This window comes from Homo sapiens, chromosome 14 (genome assembly GCF_000001405.40).
Source record: "Homo sapiens chromosome 14, GRCh38.p14 Primary Assembly".
NCBI lineage: Eukaryota > Metazoa > Chordata > Mammalia > Primates > Hominidae > Homo > Homo sapiens.
In genome coordinates, this window is record NC_000014.9 from 71,883,139 (window position 1) to 71,903,376 (window position 20,238).

General features: G+C 41.7%; 1 protein-coding gene across 1 annotated transcript in view, besides 1 other annotated feature; it reads left to right on the forward strand.

Moving 5' to 3' along the window:
• Positions 1-20,238, forward strand: part of RGS6 (regulator of G protein signaling 6) — a 762,695-nt gene that overhangs the window by 15,804 nt on the left and 726,653 nt on the right. The gene's annotated exons all lie outside the window — the stretch shown is intronic.
• Positions 12,237-12,738: an enhancer, noted in NCBI's record as "NANOG hESC enhancer chr14:72362092-72362593 (GRCh37/hg19 assembly coordinates)". NCBI's record gives its function as "activates a minimal SCP1, AML or CMV promoter by ChIP-STARR-seq in primed H9 embryonic stem cells {active_cell/tissue: H9 hESC(primed)}" and the evidence as "EXISTENCE:reporter gene assay evidence [ECO:0000049][PMID:30033119]".

A 20,238-nucleotide genomic window follows, 5' to 3' on the forward strand; every position in this document is an offset into this window, starting at 1 on the left:
GAAAATATTTATTAAGTATCTGTAATGTAGTTTTTGGTTTTTCTAAATGCTATCTTCATCTAGTTTGGGGGCCTGGCTAAAGGCCGACTAGTTCCCCTTTTTGAATGGCTGATTCAGTTCACACTGCCAGCATCTCTCAGACTCTGGACCTCTGTGCACCCACTGTAATTGCCCCAGAGCCAGGTATGGGACAGTTAGGGACAGCCCCTATGTCCTGGAGTCCACAAAATTATTCAAATTAGCTAAACCACAGAAAGTCCATGAAAGCTAGCTAACCCCACCCTGATTGCTATACTAAGCTGCCTCTACAGCTCCAGCTCCAAATTACCTGTCCTTAGACAACCCTCAGTGTGGCCCGGCCTTTGTCAGAGGCATCTAAACCAGAGCGACTCCATCTTGAGTAGGGGCTGTGTACTATAAGGCTGAGACCTACTGGGCTGCATTCCCAAGAGGTGAGGCATTCTAAGTCGCAGGATGAGAGAGGAGGTTGGCACAACATACAGGTCACAAAGACCTTGCTGATAAAACATGTTGCAGTAAAGAAGCTGGCCAAAACCCACTGAAACAAAGATGGCAACAAAAGTGACCTCTAGTCGTCCTCACTGCTCATCACATGCTAATTATAATGTATTAGCATGCTAAAAGATACTCCCACCAGTGCCATGACAGTTTACAGATGCCTTGGCAATGTCAGGAAGTTACCCTATGTGGTCTAAAATGGGGAAGTATCCTAGGTTTTGAGAATTGCCCCCATCCTCCTTTCCTGGAAAACTCATGAATAATCCACCCCCTGTTTAGCATATCATCAAGAAATAACTATAAGTATCCTTAGTCCAGCAGCCCAAGCTGGTGCTCTGCCTATGGAGTAGCCATTCTTTATTCCTTTTCTTTCTTAATAAACTTGCTTTCACTTTACTCTATGGATTTGCCTCAAATTCTTTCTTGTGTGAGATCCGAGAACCCTCTCTTAGCATCTGGTTTGGGACCCCTTTCCAGTAACAGCTTTCCTAGGAGTTCTGCCTTCATCTCTCCCAGTGTCGTTGTGTTGTTTCCCTATCCAAAGAGCTTTAGATCTTGTACAACAACACCTCCTGCGAGCCAGGGACTCCGCTGTGTCATGATAGAATGTGGGCAAAGGAGAGATGGTCTCTGCCCTTAAGGAGCTGACAGTCCAGCCAGAGAAATACAAATCCTTACACGAAGAGGTAAAGAAGAAAGCACAAAGTGTCTTAAGCCTCAAGAGCTTGTCAGTGGAGTGCTGAAGAGGAAGTGAGGTTATTTGGAGTTGGGGGGTATAGAGGTTTTTCTAGCTCCCAACAAAGTTCAGACCTATTTTCCCTACTTCAGTTCATTTTAGAACTTTACATGTTTATTATTTTAATTTGGCAGTGGGCTGGGTGTGGAAAAGGGAGAATAGCATGAGTAAGAGGGAGAAGAGTCAAGGGTGGATTTTATAACTTGTACCTCTTTTTGTCTCGGGAAAGTGATCCTGTCTTCTAAGCCAAGACACACTTTGTTCTTCTTAGCCAGGAAAATGAGGTCTATTCCTTTTTAGTGGTAAATCTGTCAACTCTTCACCAATCCTGTTTTCCACCTTTGCATGCCCATTTGTCATGACTAAGAGAATTGATGTCTGGATCCACAGACTTTCTTGAAATCCTAATAGAACTCATTTCCCTGGGGCCAGAACTAGGCACTAGGATGCAGTAAGAGTGGGCCCTGGAGCATACAATTTAAGGAGGCCCTTTCGTTCCCTGTGGTATAAGGGCAGGCACCTGAGCACCTCCTTAAATTTTTTGCCTCCTGAAATTTTGTGCCCTGAATGCCTCATTTGCCTCATGCTAGTCCTGACCTCCACCATCCCCATTTTCTGGAAACTGACAGCACTGCAAATGTAGCAGCTTTCTGTCCAATACTATTGCCATCCCTTAGCATATCCCTCAGCTGGGCTGAGAAGGCCTTCACCCACGCTTCCTTTACCCTCTTGAACCCTGTCCATTCTTCCAACCCACCTACAGAAAGAGACAAGGGTATTTAAATTATAAACAAATTTTCATTTAATCAACACTAAACAAAACAAACAAAACCTAAACATTTCTACTCCGTCGACACTAAAGAAAACAAACAACACTGAAGAAAATAAACGGAAACCAAACATTTCTACTCCATCGACATAGCCAAGTTAAAAACATTTTTTCCTTTCAAAATTTGCCAAGCTAACTCATGGTATAAAGACATGTGACATTAATTTCTAGCATTCCTGAGCTGGGCAGTATTACAGCCCTCTCTGGATTTGAAAAATTAAAAGTATTCTTCACTTCAACTCTTAGGAGAGCCAATTCTCAAAGGGCAGCTTGCTTTGTTTGTGGAGCTGGAGTGGTGGAGAGAGGTCAGAGCATGAAGGGAATGTCTCCGTGGTTCTCCTAGGATGTGATGAGGGCTCACTTGGGAGCTCAGGAATCACATCAAAGAGCCCCAGGAGGATCTGAGGAATAAAGATTGAGGCTGTTGGAGAGTCTAAAACATAAACAAGGGCTGCAAAATTAATAATACAGCGTTCAGTGCATTCTTTGGAACACAGGAAAGTTGGAAGGCTGTTCTTGTGGATACTAGCAATTCTTTCCAATGCTGTCTCTACTTTTAGAGAAGACCCTGTCCTTTGGCCTTCTCTTTCACCCATATAGTGTCTCTCTCTGTTTAATACTAGTGGAAAGCTGTTTAATACTAGTGAGATAAAATTCTTTCTTTCCTTCCTTCCTTCCTTCTTTCCTTCTTTCTTCTTTCCCTCCCTCCCACTCTCCTTCTCTTTTTTCTCTTTCTTTTTCTCCCTCCCTTCCCTCTCCTTCCCTTCCCCTCCATTCCCTTCCCTTTCCTTCTCTCCCTTGCTTCCCTTCCTTTTATTTTATTCAGAAATGCGTGTAATCCCAAATCTGAATAAGGGAAATTGATCATATCATCCCTTGCTTGTCATTAGAAAACAATTAGTTCTCAGAACTTAAATTTTTGGACTGAAGTGATTAAGGTTGAGGCCTGTTGATATGATGACAGTGAATTCAGCCTAAATATTGCCTTTTTGGAACACTCCAGGTAAAGTAGCTTCATCCTTATCACACTTATCACTGTCTGAAACTCTTACTGTTTAAGAGTTGATTGTCTGTCTCTCCCATTAAAAGGTAAGCTCATTGAGAGTAGCATCTTTGTTTTATTCCTGGCAGGATCTTCAATTAACGTCACTGTGCACATTGCACAGTAGGCAATCAATTAATATTGACTGACTGAATGAATGAATATATGAGTGAGTTGTGTTCTAATCATGGATAATCCAAGTAAGCAGTAATACAGTGTTTGAGTTTTTTCGTTTAGTAGTCTTCTGTCTAAGGTGTATTTGGATACATACACCAGGCAGAAGTTAGGCACTGAGGTTAAGGCAGTGGACAAGACCAACATAGCTCCCACCTTTGTAGCAGTTAGAGCCTAGTAGAAAATGAAAGCAATCAGCATGTAATTTTGGTGAACTGCATGTTTGCAAGGTATATCTTTAATTTGGTTGGTTTGTTTTGGAGGCAAATAATTTAGGTATAACTTGAAGGCTGCTAGGTATATCTTGACAAAGTTTTGAAAGAAATCCAGGGCTTATGGAAGGGCATATCAGTTAGAGATTGCTCTTCCTGCATATATTAATACCACCTTTTGCCAGAACATAGTCTCGGGGACACCTCAATGCAAGAGATGCTGAGAACTGTTGGCTCACGCCTGTAATCCCAGTACTTTGGGAGGCCGAGGCGGGTGGATCACGAGGTCAGGAGTTCAAGATCAGCCTGGCCAACATGGTGAAACCCCATCTCTACTAAAAATACAAAAATTAGTCAGGCATGTTGGTGGGCACCTGTAATCCTAGCTACTTGGGAGGCTGAGGTGTTGCGGGAAGTCAGGGACCCCAAACGGAGGGACCAGCTGGAGCTGCAGCAGAGGAACGTAAATTGTGAAGATTTCATGGACGTTTATCAGTTCCCAAGTAATACTTTTATAATTTCTTATGCCTGTCTTTACTTTAATTTCTTAATCCTGTTATCTTTGTAAGCTGAGGATGTACGTCACCTCAGGACCACTGTGATAATTGTGTTAACTGTACAAATTGATTGTAAAATATGTGTATTTGAACAATATGAAGTCAGCGCACCTTGTAAAAGAACAGAATAACAGCGATTTTTAGGGAACAAGGGAAGACAACCATAAGGTCACACTGCCTGCAGGGTCAGGCAAAAAGAGCCATATTTTTCTTCTTGCAGAGAGCCTATAAGTGGACGTGCAAGTAGGAGAGATATCCCTAAATTCTTTTCCTAGCAAGGAATATTAATATTAATACCCTGGGAAAGGAATGCATTCCTGGGGGGAGGTCTATAAATGGCTGCTCTGGGAATGTCTGTTTTATGCAGTTGAGATAAGGACTGAGATACGCCCTGGTCTCCTGCAGTACCTTCAGGCTTACTAGGGTGGGGAAAAACTCCGCCCTGGTAAATTTGTGGTCAGACCAGTTCTCTGCTCTCAAACCCTGTTTTCTGTTGTTTAAGATGTTTGTCAAGACAATGTGTGCACTGCTGAACATAGACCCTTATCAGTGGTTCTGTTTTTGCCCTTTGCCTTGTGATCTTTGTTGGACCCTTATCAGTAGTTCTGTTTTTGCCCTTTGTCCTGTTCCCTCAGAAGCATGTGATCTTTGTTAGACCCTTACTAGTAGTTCTGCTTTTTGCCCTTTGAAACATGTGATCTTTGTACCTACTCACTGTTCTTACACCCCTTCCCCTTTTGAAACCCTTAATAAAAACTTGCTGGTCTGAGACTCAAGCGGGCATCACGGTCCTACCGATATGTGACGTCACCCCCGGCGGCCCAGCTGTAAAATTCCTCTCTTTATACTGTCTCTCTTTATTTCTCAGCTGGCCAACACTTATGGAAAATAGAAAGAACCTACGTTGAAATATTGGGGGTGGGTTCCCCCAATACTGAGGCAGGAGAATCACTTGAAACTGGAAGGTGAAGGTTGCAGTGAGCTGAGATCGCGCCACTGCACTCCAGCCTGGGCAAAAGAGTGAAACTCCATCTCAAAAATAAAACAAAACAAACAAACAAAATACAAAAATTAGCCAGGTGTGGTGGTGGGCACCTGTAATCCCAGCTACAAGGCAGGAGAATTGCTTGAACCCAGGAGGTGGAGGTTGCAGTGAGCCGAGACCCTGTCATTGCATGCCAGCCTGGGCAACACAGCAAAAGCTCTGTCTCAAAAAAAAAAAAAAAGAAGAAGAAGAAGAAAAAGAGAAGGGGGAATTTATCTGCCTTGCTCCCTCCTGCTTCCTATTGATTGAGGCTCATCCCACAGGAAACAAACCTCTTTCCCCTTTCAGGTTGTGTCAGCTGGCCTGCTTGGGTTGGTCACATCTCATGCTCTGAGACTGGGTGTTTTATCTAAGTCCATCAGTGGAAGAAGGGTGGCTTGGCATAGGTAGGATTTCATTCAAGAGAAAAAAAAAAATAGGTGGTCAAGGGAATTTGAGAAAGTACACAGCCTTCTGTCCTCATTACAGGCACATACAGACTATGATGGGAACAAGTAGGTTCAAGAGGACCTACATTGGTCTAAAGAGTCAGCTGAGCTGACTCAATATATCTTCTCCATTTGGGTTGCTGAGGAGCTAAAAAATATATCCTTAGTGTTATTCTTAAGCATTATCACATCATTGAAAACTACAATAAAACACTGAAATGTATTGGATCCCTGAAAAGAGCATGAAGTCAGGAGTTTTTGATGTAGGGTGTCTCTTAACTATAGCATTATTGTCATCTAACACAAGCTGAGGATTGGGCATGGTTCACTGGAGATACCAAAGATGCATGATATTGTCATGGCCTTCCATTGAGAAAGAAAAATCTAAACAAATGAATAATGACACAGTGTGAGTAAGGGCCAAATGATTGGTGGAGAATTCAGAGGCGGGCAGGATCTCTGTGGTCCAGGGGAGAGGAGAACATGTCATGGAGGTAGGCAGATTTGATCTGGGCCTTGAAATAAAGGTGGACTTTGGTGTGTTTGACGTAGGAGGAAGGGCGTTCTGGGTTGGGGGCAAGGCACAGACAGAAATATGATTGCGGGGAAGTACATGGTGACCAACAGCAACCGAGGAAGAAGCAGTGAATATCTGCCTTTGTCTGGAGAAGAAAAGAGTGAGAAATGTAGCTATAAGGATCTTAAATTGTGAATATTCTTAAATACTGAGAAATGGAGTGTGGATTTTTTTCCCTAAATGCAATGGAGAGTCAGCGAAGGGGGATTTTAGGACTCACAGAATGGGAAACTGGAGGGTGGAGAAGGGGAGTTGGAAAAAGTCCTGTTGTGGAAACTCTCCCTTAATAAGGACACTTCACTGAGTGGGTCACACCAACTGCTTCGTCAGAGAGGGGATAATTGAGTTGGGGGAGAGCTTGGGGCACGCACTTTGCAGGGCGTAAGGTACAGAAAGGAAAAGCAAGAGGCTGGTGATAACTTTTCTATGTTGTTGTTTTGCCAAGTGATATGATCTGTGTCCCCACAAAATCTTAGGTTGTATTATAATCCTCAGTGTTGGAGGTGGGGCCTGGTGGGAGGTGACTGGATCTTGGGGGCAGGCGTCTCACGAATGGTTTAACGCCATCCCCTTGGCACTATTCTCATGATGCTGAGTGAGTTCTCCTAAGATCTAGTTGTTTAAAAGTGTGTAGCACCTCCTCTCTCTCTCTCTTTCTTGCTCCTTCTCCTGCCATATATTAGTTGGATGCCATTAAAAGTAATGGCAAAAACTGTGATTACTTGTGCACTAACCTAAGACGGTCTGCTCCTACTTTGCCTTCTGCCATGATTGGAAGCTCTCTGAGGCCCCCCCAGAAGTGGATGCCACCATTCTTTCTGTATAGCCTGCAGAACCGTGAGTCAGTTAAAACTCTTTTCTTTACAGATTGCTCAGTCTCTGGTATTTCTTTACAGCGATGTGTGAACAGACTAACACACCAAGTTTCTGCCTTGAGCAGATCAAAGATTTGGTCAGCCTGACTCATTTTGTGTCATTTTAATGCTACGTGGAAGGTAAAATCAGTGCAGGAGAGGTCCACCTGAAGAATGACAGCCGGTAGGATTAGTCTGATTTTATGGCTCTTAGATAGTTTGCTGTGTGTGTGCGTGTGCATAAGACAGAGAGAGAGAGAGAGAGAGAGAGAGAGAGAGAGAAATCTTGTCTAGAGGCTGAGCTAGCATCTGCCGGTACTTCAGCTCTCCTAACCCCTCATTCTATGGCACCTGTCTTCCTGTTAGGCCAACTGTCAGATGCTTTTGATGAGCATAGACCTTTGTTCCAACCCACTCTTCCAAAGGTTATTTTTCCAGTTTATTCCCTTTCTAACCATTTACCTGCTGCTAATCCTCAGCACAGTTAATTCTAGGGCTGCCTGCAGATTCTGCCATGGATGTTTTATAACTGTTACAATTTATTTTTCAAAATCATTTGGGATGTTTCCTCTGTAGTAACTTACCCTTCTTGAAAGTCTTTAGCTGCTACCCACACATCGCATGAGTCACAACAGAATTTGATTCAGAGCTACTGAAACCTTTAAGAATAAAACTATTATTAGTGAAAAGGATTTAGCTCAGGAGCAACTAAGAAGGACTCCATTCAGCTTGGGATTAAAAACAGCAGAATGCAGTACTTTTAAATAAACATTTTCTTTTTACATCTCAAACTGACACTTTTTGAGGAAACATTTTAGTACTCAGTGGGACTTCTGGGAAAATGAAATGTGAGAAAACAGATTCTAGAGTGAAGGGGTGATTTAGTTCAGTTCTCTGTGATGTCTGGGGGACAGGGGTATTTCTCTAGATCTGTAAAGAAAAGGCTCCACAGTTATTAAGACTGTTTGCCAGAACCTGCCAACAGTTTCCCAGTCTAATTTTTTTAAAGCTTGCTTAATGCAGTTCATAGAATATTGTAGTTTGTAAAATTCTCACCCAGATCTCCTGTAGGTCAATGAATTGGTCCTTGTTCTGGTTAGCATTGATATAACACAATTACCCCAGGGCCAGGAATTTGGGAAGGGCTCGACTGGGTGGTTCTCACTGGGTGCCTCTCCCTTAGTTGCCGTCAGGTGTCTGCGGGAGCTACGGTCATCTGAAGGTCCCCCTGGACTGCAGAAACAAGGTGGCTCCTCCCATGGCTGGCAGTTGATGCTGGCTGTTGGCGAGGAGCTCAGCTGGGACTATTGACAAGGGCACCTACACTTGGCCTCTCCAGCAGGGTGGTCTTAGCCACGGTGGTCCAGCAGGTGGTATCCTGATTTCTTACATGGCAACTGGCTTCTCTGAGAACAAACATCCTAACAAAACTAAATGGAAGCTAAAAGCTTCAGAAGTCACATGGATGGTGTTGGTTGAAGCAATCACAGGCCCACCCACCCTCAAGGGGAGGAGGGAGAGACCCCACATTTGATGGGAGAAGCATCAGATGATTTGCAGCTATTAAAACAACAAAACCCAAACCGCTACAGTCCTATACAGTCAGCCTTAAGATCTCTCTGAGCACTCTCTAGGGATTCTTACAAAGTGCATGTTTAACTCTGTTAGTATCTGGATATCCACTTAGCAGACTGTCTTCTCTGGCTTCTTCCCAGCACCTCCTTGTATTTTTCCCCCTTTTCTTTCTATCTGCTTGGACAAATCACCTTAGGTGTCTCTTCCCTATTTTTAAGCACTTCCTAGCAGATTTAGCTCTAATCAGTTAACAGAGTCCTAATTTGCATGTAGAATGTCTGTCATGAAATGTTATTTTTATATTTCTTACAAAGTAGAGATTTTAATATAATAGCTCATTCTCTGAAATAGCTTTCACATGACTTCATTACACATGAATCTCATTATAATACATACCATTTCAGTGAAGAGTCTCTGTGTTTTTCACCTTAATGGCACCTAATTGCCCTTCTCTTTCAAACAATACAATGAAATTCCTTCACAACAAAACACTACAGGCAGTTTTTTGGAAGCAACTGTCATGGGTTGGATCCACTTTAGAAGAGGAAATCTACTGGGAGGTGGCTCACCGCCTGAGAAATTGTATTTTGTCTAACATTTTCAAGCAATTAGCCACCAGTAGGTAGGCCTCCCAAAAACAGATCCTTCCTTGTTTTAAAAATTGGATAATTGCCCATAATCTTCAGCAAGATGGATACGGCCTTCCTACAAACACCTTAGGTTTTCCTTTCCAGGCTTCACAGGTCAGCCTCAACAGGATGCTCATATGAGCTGCTTAATAATGAATGAACTGAGACTGGCAGAATGGATGGCACCACCTCCTAATACTTGAGTAAGGATGCAAGAGTTGTTTTGTCTCCTATGAGGCAGTTGTGCAGATCAAGAGCACAGGTCACAGTATAACCTTGGTGAGCATTTCACACCGAGCTCTTCCAAGGATGTGGGCTTTGATTTACAAACTACTTAAACTGTTATCCTGAGCAAAAAGAAATGGTAAATGGAGAAGGAATACCATGCCACTGAGACTACAGTGGGGTTATTTAATAAATGATGAATCGTTTCTTAAAATTAAATGCAGTTTATTTAGTATAATGGATTATTAGGTAATTACAAATGTAATGTGGTTTCTATAAAGTACAATGGCATTTTACGGCTTTTCATGGTGACTTTATGTTAATGTTTTACATGTAGTTTTGCCTTACAGGAATAGTGTAACGAGATAATAATCATGTGCTCTATATGTAGATGAAGAGATGGCCCAAGCCAGCTTCATGGGACGGCAGCGATCTGCCTAAGGGCATTTATCTGTTTTAGTCTCTGTAATTTACTTTTAAAACGTTCACATTTTACAATATAGACATTGTAAAATCTTTATTAGTTGGTTTTTATCTGTACTTTAGAGGCAGTTAGTTAATATTTATGTACTCTAATCAGGAATTATACACTAAAGGGATGGCTAGGTAGCATTTGAAAGTTCTAAACAAGGTCTGTACTCCAGAGGCAAGTACAACTAGAGGGACTTCAGGATTCCCCATCTCTGACTTGCATTAGAGGGTTTGATCAAGAATTTTGTCACTGATGAAATGAGGGTCTTTAAATGTGTGGATTTGCTTAAAATATTGTTTGAGTATTCTCACCTTTACATAAACAGGATATAAGGATTCTGCAGGGCCATTACCTTCTCTCTAGGATTTTGATCTCAAACTTACCCTGTGCTCAGATGCTGATTGGAGGATTTTTGTGACCCTGCTTTGGCTTGGTAGCTGAATCCTGACTCTAGAATATTACCACATTTGCTTTGTCATCAAAAGACCACCATGCTAAATAGTAGAAAGGAGAGTTTTATTGGTGATATCAGTTTGCAACCTGGGAGGAGATATTATCTGGCATGGGCTGAAGGTACCCTCTTCTCAAGGAGGGAAGGGACAGATTGGGTTTCATGCCTCACAGAGTTTGTATTACACAGTAGGATTTTGGGGAAGAGCTGTACATATTTATAAGGGGAGCCAAGCACATGTGCATTGGATAAATACATATGTACCATACATCACACGTTCATTTTGGGGTGGTGTTTTAGCTTTAAAATGAGGGGGAATTTGGCCCTTTAAGTCAAAAAGTGAACTATAGGACACAAAGACAATTTGTGCGCAGTTGGCTGAAATTGGCTTAAGGCACACAGTTGTTTATCAGAAAAGAAGGTGTGTAAGGCTGATCCTCTGTCCAGTCAGAGTTGTGATCTGAGTAGTAAATCAGACTTAGGAGGGGTCTGAAAGCTCCTTTTGCTAGGGAGTTTAATAAAAGTGTGTTTTTTCTTACTGCCATAAGAATTTAGAAATTTTTCATGTGAGCCAGGTCCTGGACCTTTGACCCATAGGTAATTTTGTTTCTTTAATTTTAGGATTCATCTTAGTTGATATAGAGGCATCTGTTTTGTCCCTCCGATTGTCAGAGGCGTTCAAACCAGAGCGACTCCATTTTGAGTGAGGGCTAGGAAAATGAGGCTGAGACTTGCTGGGCTGCCTTCTCAGAAAGTCAGGCATTCCTCGCCTCTCGATGTTTACGATTAAAGGAACAAATTAATAGTGGTTACTAAACTGACCCAGACTTGGGAGCATCCAGATATCCCAATATCTGGAGAACAAAGACATTCCTAATTTTGCTTTAAAGATAGTAATATCAATTCTTGCAAAGTATAGTAATTAAGAAAAGTAATTCTTTATCACAAACCCTTGTAGCAGAGCACATGTCCCCATATATACAAGGATTGCACCGAGGGTGGATGCGTGCCTCCTCTTACTTTCGGGAACACCCTACTCTGTCTATGGAGCAGCTGTCCTTTCACCACTTTACTTTCTTAATAAACTTGCCTTTGCTTTGCACTAAGGACTCGCCCTGAATTCTTTCTTGCGTGAGAACCAAGAACTTTCTCTTGGGGTTTGCTTTGGATCCCCTTTCCTGTGACAAGATCACAGTTTTGAGTGAACTTTTCAGGAAAGATACTATCCCAGTACCTAAAAGGACAGAAAACTAGGACTTCATTGAGTTTACAGAATAGAATATATGACTGTTTTTGTGTCTGTATTGTTAAAGTAACTTCTCAGGTAGATTAATTGCAAGCATATATCAAAGGTATTTTCCTTTTTTTATTTTTTTTTGAGATGGAACTTCACTCTTGTTGCCCAGGCTGGAGTGCAATGGTGTGATCTCAGCTGGGATTACAGGCACGAGCCACCACGCCCAGCTAATTTTGTATTTTTAGTAGAGACAGGGTTTCTCCATGTTGGTCAGGCTGGTCTTGAACTCCCGACCTCAGGTGATCTGCCTGCCTAGGCCTCCCAAAGTGCTGGGATTACAGGCGTGAGCCACTGCACCCAGCCCAAAGGTACTTTTCAAATTTGCTGCCAGGGAGGAGGCTTATGGGCAAACTAACTTAGATATTTCTTAATACAGATTTTTTAGGGGAAAAAAAGGTAGTTAGATAATCACTATTAGACTGTTTTTTGTTTGTTTGTTTTGAGATGGAGTCTCACTCTGTCACCCAAACAGGAATGCAGTGGCGTGATCTTGGTTCACTACAACCTCTGATCCCTGGGTTCAAGTGATTCTCCTGCCTCAGCCTCCTGGGTAGCTGGGATTATAGGCGCCCATCACCACACCCAGCTAATTTTTTTTTTATTTTTAGTAGAGACAGGGTTTCACCATGTTGGCCAGACTGGTCTCAAACTCCTGACCTCAAGTGATCTGCCCGCCTCAGACTCCCAAAGTGCTGGGATTACAGGCATGAGCCACCACAACCAGCCTCGACTGTATATTTTTTAAGAGAATGTCTAGGTAAAGATCATTAGATATCCTGGGAGACTGGTCAAAGGTTGTTAAGCAACTCCCAGTGTTGATGATCAGCTGCTTGATGTGTTAATCAGGATCCTGGTAGGGAGCAGATGGCTCAGTCTTAATGGGCAATGAGAAGACAGTTGAATAAAGGGACTGCTTGTTATGCTGTGTGCAGAGTATGGGGATACTAACCAGGTGTAGTGCAGTCCTTAGGGCTAGCAACAGTGGGAGCCATTAGTATTCCTTGGCCTGAAGGGCAAGAGAAGGGAGCTGGTGCTAGAACCCAAAGAACAGGGCTCCATGGCAGGCGCTCCCTGCCAGGAGCTGAGTCTTGCAGTAGAGGGCTCTCACCAACCCATGGCATTTCTGCTCAGAGAGAGCGAGGAGATGCATACCCAACCTCACTCTCCTCCTACTCTTTGATTTCCAGTCTCCTGCTGGTGCTTCTAATCTGGCCAAACCCAACAGAAGCTGGAAGGCCAGGGAGCCCAGGGGTGCAGTCCGTGCAGGCCAGCTTCCAGGTCCCAGTGGGGTGGAGAAGGGTGGGGAGTGGAGATGGAGGGGCAAATAGAAGATCCAGCACTGTAAATTTTCTAGAAAGTGTTACAGGAAAGGGGTCCAGATGCAGACCCCAAGAGAGCGTTCTTGGATCTCAAGCAAGAAATAATTCAGGTCAACTCCACAGAGTAAAGTGAAGGCAAGTTTATCAGGAAAGTAAAGGAATAAAAGAATGGCTACTCCATAGACAGAGCAGCCCCGAGGGCTGCTGGTTGCCCATTTTTATGGTTATTTCTTGATTATATGCTAAATAAGGGGTGGATTATTCATGCCTCCCCCTTTTAAGACCATAAAGGGTAACTTCCTGATGTTGCCATGGCATTTGTAATCTGTCATGGCGCTGGTGGGAGTGTAGCAGTGAGGATGACCCGAAGTCACTCTCGTCACCATCTTGGTTTTGGTGGGTTTCGGCCAGCTTCTTTACCACAGGCTGTTTTATCAGCAAGGTCTTTATGACTTGTATCTTGTGCCAACCTTCTATCTCATCCGGTGACTTAGAATGCCTTAGCTGTCTGGGAATGCAGCCCAGTAGGTCTCAGCCTCATTTTACCCAGCCCCTATTCAAGATGGAGTTGCTCTGACAAATGCCTCTGACAAAAGGACTCTTGAACTCATTGAAGTCTACCAGAAAGTAGCTTATGCAATTCATCAGGAATGGTAATACTGAGAGGTTACTCTCCAAAGGAGCAGCTAATCAAATCAGACCACAAAATTCCACTGATTAGGGATAACTTTCTTTCTCAGTATGTGTAGCGGAAATTGGTCTGACCTTGCTATTTTATGAGTTACCATTGGGTAGGAGGCTTATTGCTTCATCTACCTGTAAGTAGTGGCAGCTATCAGAAAGAGGCTATCTTCTTGATTCCTCACACCTGTGTAGGGTTAGATTGGCTTAGGTAAGCTTGCTACCATCTCTCTACTCAGCACCTGTTCTTCTCCCTTGTTGCACTTACTGCCATTCATAATTGCATATTTATTAGTTTGTAGGTTGGCTTATTGTCTCCCTGTCACTCTACCTAGGGGGTATAATCCACAAAGTCCAAGAGATATGTCTCTACACTGCCTAGCATAGTGCTAGGCACATAGTAGGTGGTAGATAATTGTTTATTGAATCAATGAATAAATATTCTGGCTATCTGCCAGCAAGGCAGCATTGGTGAAGTGGGGAGAGTATGGGTTCCAGAATAAGGAGAAATTAGATTTAAATCTTGGCTCTAGCAAAGACATGTGGCCTTAGCAAATTGCTTAATCTCTCCAAGCTTTGATTTCCTCCTCTGTAGTATTGGGATTATATTTACTTCCCTACTTATTAAAGTTTAAATCAGATATGCTGCCAAGTGCTGTGGAGGGCTAGGAACATGAAGACAGTTGGGAGATAGAGTGACACCTGCTGCTGGTCTCATGGTCTCATTACCCATTGTTAGATTTATTTTTTATTTTATTTTATTTTATTTATTTATTTTGAGATGGAGTCTTGCTCTGTCACCCAGGCTGGAGTGCAGTGGCACGACCTCAGCTCACCACAACCTCCACCTCCTGGGTTCAAGTGATTTTCCTGCCTTAGCCTCCTGAGTAGCTGGGATTACAGGCGCCCACCACCACGCCCAGCTAATTTTTATATTTTTAGTAGCGATGGGGTTTCACCATCTTAGCCAAGATGGTCTCGATCTCTTGACCTCATGATCCACCTGCCTCAGCCTCCCAAAGTGCTGGGATTACAGGCGTGAGCCACCGCGCCCGGCCCCATGGATTTTGTAAAAGAATGTTTACAGCAAGGGAGGACTCCTTTCAAATGTTCAATGCTCACTTAAACATTTTTTTTTTTTCTTGAAGGAACACCCAGGAGCTTAGAGTACAATATAAAGGCTTTATCCTTTGAGGCTTTATTTTTTATTTTAATTTTCACTGGACAAGCCTGTTTTTCTTTTTTATTTCCTTTTTTTTTTTGGTTGTTTGTTTTGGGTACAAAGTGATTTTTGCTATATGTATACATTGTGAAAATGATAAAATCAAGCTAATTAACATGTCAGTCACCTCACATACTTTTATTGTGGTGAGAACATTTAAGATCTACTCTCAGCAATTTTCAAGCATACAATATATTGTTATTAACTACAGTCACCATGCTTTACAGTAAATCTCCAGAACTTACTCATTCAGTCTAACTGAAATTTAATGCCGTTTGACTAACCTCTCCCTATCCCTGACTTCTCCTCCAACCCTCCCCTCACCCCAACCACCATCTTACTCTTTTTGAGGGTTTACTGAAATTACTTTTAATTGTTTGTTGGTCCTGGTGTTTAGTGAAATCTGGTAGAAATATATACAGCCTAGTTGAAGCCTTTAGCATCTGTAGGACAGGAAGTCCAATGGAATTATCATGTGGCTATGTACAATAGAGATGTTCCTAAAATATGTAGGTACACTTTTTTTTATTATTTTGCTTTAAGTTCTGGGATACATGTGCAGAACGTGCAGGTTTGTTACATAGGTATACATGTGCTATGGTGGTTTGCTGCACCCATCAACCCATCATCCAGGTTTTAAGCCCCGCATGCGTTAGGTATTTGGCCTAATGCTCTCCCTCCTTTTCCTCCCACCCCCCCGACAGGCCCCGGTGTGTGATGTTCCCTTCCCTGTGTCCCTGGGTTCTCATTGTTCAACTCCCACTTAGTGAGAACATGCAGTATTTGGTTTTCTGTTCCTGTGTTAGTTTGCTGAGGATGATGGTTTCCAGCTTCACCCATGTCCCCGCAAGGGACATGAACTCAATTCTTTTTTGTGGCTGCATAGTAACCCATGGTGTATATGTGCCACATTTTCTTTATTGTAGGTACACTTTTATAAGTTAGAATATATTTAAAATGCATTCAAAGCATTAATGCTGTGATGAACTCTCTCCTAAAGCTAAGAATAACTCCAATATTGTTTTTTAAATCCAGTTTTCTAAGTGATGCTGGTGTGGGAAAAACCAATAGGCTGGTGATATCCTATAGGCTGGCTTTCCAAATAGTAATCAAAAAAGCGCATCTTCCCCTTCCCCTGATTTTTTTAAAAGTGATCTTTAAAAATATTTAAAAACCACACAGGTTGACTATAGAAAAAATAAGAAATACAGGTAAGCAAAATCAACACCAAAATATAAAACCCACCCATAATTCCACTGTTCAAGAACTAGCTTGTATTTGCCGCTTGCTGTGTAGCCTTTGCCACGAAAATTCTTCATTAGAGCTACTTTCTCTTCCCTGTATTATTAGCAGGGTTCCACCAATTTCAGCAAATATTTCTGTAAACTGAATCTCTTTTGCAAATTTCCCCCACTTTCCTACTTCAGCAAAACATTGTTGAGGACATGTGGTTGTCTCCCCAGTATTGACTTTACCTCTACCACAATGAGTAACAAGTATGTTGTTTAGGTACGGTACACTCAACCCCTCAGTTTTAGGGATAGGTCCTGTGTGGCATAAACAAATCCAGGTAATTTCATTTTGCCTTGCTGAAGTGATTGGTTCAAGTAACCCAGGCCTAAACCAATCAATATGTGCTATTCCTTTAGCCACAAGAATTGATTCACAGGTGATCTAATCAGCTGGTAACTTGAGACTTACTAAGAATTCTGGAATACAAGATTTTCTCTTCTGGATGTAGAATGTAGAATCTGGAACTTCTATAGTTATTTAGCCCCGCTATTACCAAACTCCAGTCTTTAACTCTCATTGGTCACCTTACAGTTTTGCCCATTCTGCTAATCAGCCTATCTAGTGAGATTTTAAGTTTAACAGTTGTATTTATGTCCAAAAATCTGTGACTGATTCTTTTCCTGTTCTTGTTTTACAACCATCTGTTCTTGTTTTAAGGATGCAGTCTCCTCTCTTATATCTCAGAGGACATTAACTCAACTTAAATCACTTTTCTGGTGTCCTGTTAACTATTTCTTCAGGCATATGACTCCTCTGTAGCGGAGTTTATGACCTTTCTTTTGAGGACATCTTTACGGTTGATATTCCTTGCTAGATTGTTTGCTGCCTCTGCTTACACATTCCATTTGGGAAAAGGAGAGAAGCATCTTTGAAGTTTGTCCCTACTCTGCTTTAAAAGAGAGTCAGATATGGGCAGAATGTACAGTTCAGTAGGGTACCTCACTGGCTGCTCTTCTAGGCTTCAGGGTTTCCTAGTTTTCTGGCTACCTCAGGCTCCTGGCTGCTACCACTTCTGAATGTGGAGCACATTTTGTATAATTACCGCTTTTTTATCAGTTATATTTGGCCATGAGCTACTTGCACATGTCTTGAGATGCCATTTTCCTGTTCTATCTGACCTACTGGCTTTTGGTCTCCCAGATTCCTCTCATTTTCGGGTCCGTGAAATCAATTCATCTTGTTTTTGTATGTGGCCATATATTCATTTAAAAATATTCTTCTGTAATTTTACTACTTCAGAGCAGGGAATGACTGTCATTCCCTGTGTACTTATTCTGTTATCTTGAAACTAAAACTATGACTACTCTTGGTGTATTTGTCTATGTTAGAAAACTGAAAGTTTAATGAGGGCAAAGACTATATCTTACGAATCTTTGGTTCCTTCACTTCCTCCATAACAAGGATAGCACACAGAACTGTGCCTTATTAGATGCTGTGTTAGGCTGTTTTTTTATTGCTATAAAGGAATACCTGAGACTGGGTAATTTAAATAGAAAAGAGGTTTAGTTTGTTCATGGTTCTACAGGCTGTACAGGAAGTATGGTGCTGGCATCTGCTTCTGGTGAGGGCCTCAGGAAGCTTACAGTCATGGCAGAAGGCAAAGGGTGAGCCGACCTGTCATATGGTGTGAGCAGGAGCAAGCAAGAGAGGAAAGGAGAGATCCTAGACTCTTAACAACCAGATCATGTGTGAACTAACTGAGCAAGAACTCACTTATCACCAAGGGGATAGTGCTAAGCCATTCATGAGGGATCCGCCCCCATGATCCAATCACCTTCCACCAGGCTCCACCTCCAACAATGGGAATCACATTTCAACATGAGACTTGGAGAGGATGAACATCCAAATCATATCAAATGCATAATATATCTTTCTCAAAGTGAGTAAAACTGAAGAAAGTTATTTGAGCCGATTCTATGGTCCATAGGTTTCTAAACTGATGAGTTTCCCAAATAAATTCAGGGATTAACTATCTATATCAAGAATATGAACTTTAGAGTCAGACTTCCTTGAATTCAAGTCTTGGTTCTACCACAAACCAGTTGTGTGAATATTGGCAATTACTTGGTTTCTCTTAGCTTCAGTTTTCATTCCTATAACATAAGCATTTTATACAATGCTGGTACATGGCAGGTATATAATAAATGTCTAACACAATTATTCATGTTGTTATTTTCCAATGTGTCTTATAGTTAATTTGATCAATAAATCCTTGCCCACATGTCAGTGGACATGGCTACCTATTGGTCTTTCTTCTTCCCAATTAATATATTGACTAACTAATTAACTAAGCTTTTTTAGAGACAATATACTCAGTTCAGATGCCAAATGAATGGCTCCCCGTTGACATCCCAGGCCAGTCATAAGGTGAGAGTTATTTGACTCCTTCAAAGCTGTTTCCTTTGGTCAATCCCTGTTCCCACTCCCATCTCCCTGTTTTTGGGTTGGTCTTGACCACAGAGACTGTTTATTTCTTATATGATAGCCATGTCTCCTTGCTAATAGAAATCTAATTTTGTATACTTGTTGGTCATTGGGTGCTTTAGAGGATTACATCTTGATTAATTCCAATTTCCATGCCAATGATTGGTTTAGAAACAGGTGTATGATAAAATTCTGGCCAATAAAATGTGAAGAAAACCTTTTGCAGGACTTCTGAAAAATAAAACTTCTTTTATCAGGCAAATAAGGATGGAATATTCTGTCTTCTAGCCTTTGTAAAGATGTGATGCTTGAGGTTGCAGCCATCTTTCTACAATAATGTGTCAAGCCTGAGATTAAGAGTCAACATTCTGAGGAGAAAAAACCTGGAGAAAGAACCTGGTTTTTGATGACTTTGTTGATCAACTGAAAACCAACCTGCTTCAGAACTCTTGATCTATGGCAGATTAAATCCCTTTATTGTTTAAGTCATTTACAGTTGAGTTTTCTGTTACTTGCATTTAAAAAAATATAAGCGATTCAGCTATGAGACATGATAATCTGGGAAAACATGAGTTGCCCCACTCACTTTGTACACAAAAAAATTAACAAAGATTATTTTGGTAACTCACTATTTCCATAGTCACTTGAATGATGTCAAATCTCATTAGGCTTAAAGAAAAAGCAAAACCTTTTTTGAGCCTCGGGTACCATGGGTAGCAAGCCTTGTAAAGCCTTTGGTACATCAAAGGGGCCTTTGAGTGTCTCTTGGGACATTTTATATTTCATCAGTACAGGTTTAAAAAGTCTGAATGCTCACATATAATAGTTTTCTTTTAAAGTCTGTTTCTCAGAGAGGTGTCTGTTTGGAAACGTAAGATTCATAGAGAAAAAATTTCCTTTCTTAGAGACAGTCAAGAGGAAAACTCCGAGAACTACAACTTTTGGCAAAATGGATATAGTTAGAGAAATAGAAAGAAGAATAGAAGTTGCTTCTGGGCCATGTTATAACAAAATAAATAAAAACATAAACTTATTTGAAAGATTGTGTGGTATTTATTTAGAGGCATATCGATCCTTCACCGAGACTAAATGAGGAAGAGATGAATTGAAATCTTAATGAAACATAAAAATGGGCATTGGCAACATTGCCTGCAACCATCGTAGATGAACAAATAATGGAGCCAGTCTGTTTACATTATTGGAATGAGCACAGGGCAGGTGATGTGTCCGGTTTCTAAACCTGGGATCAAATCTTTACTCTTTAGTTTTTGTTGGATGGTTTCCTGACTCATTGGATAAACCAGGTACATATCCAAGCCCCTTTGTTTCTATCTACAGAAGAGATAATGACATTGGCTTAGGTATGGCAGGGTTAAGCCCAACATTGTGTTGAAAAGAACTCCAGGAACCTGGGATTTAGGAAGAGTTGGTCCTGTCTGTGGGGAGTAAAGGCAGTGCTCCCTTTAAAACTACAGAGGAGAATGCCTTTTGAAGGAAGCATGTGTAATTCTTATCCTCCTTTCTATGTGGCAGCCATCTGTCTAGTTACATGACCTCTTTTCCTAACCGGTTGAGGTCCTTGAGAACAAGGCTCTTCCCTTATGAATCTCATCTCCCTCTTCCTGGCACAGTACTCTGCACATGGTAAGTGTTTGATAAATCCTACTTGGCTAACTA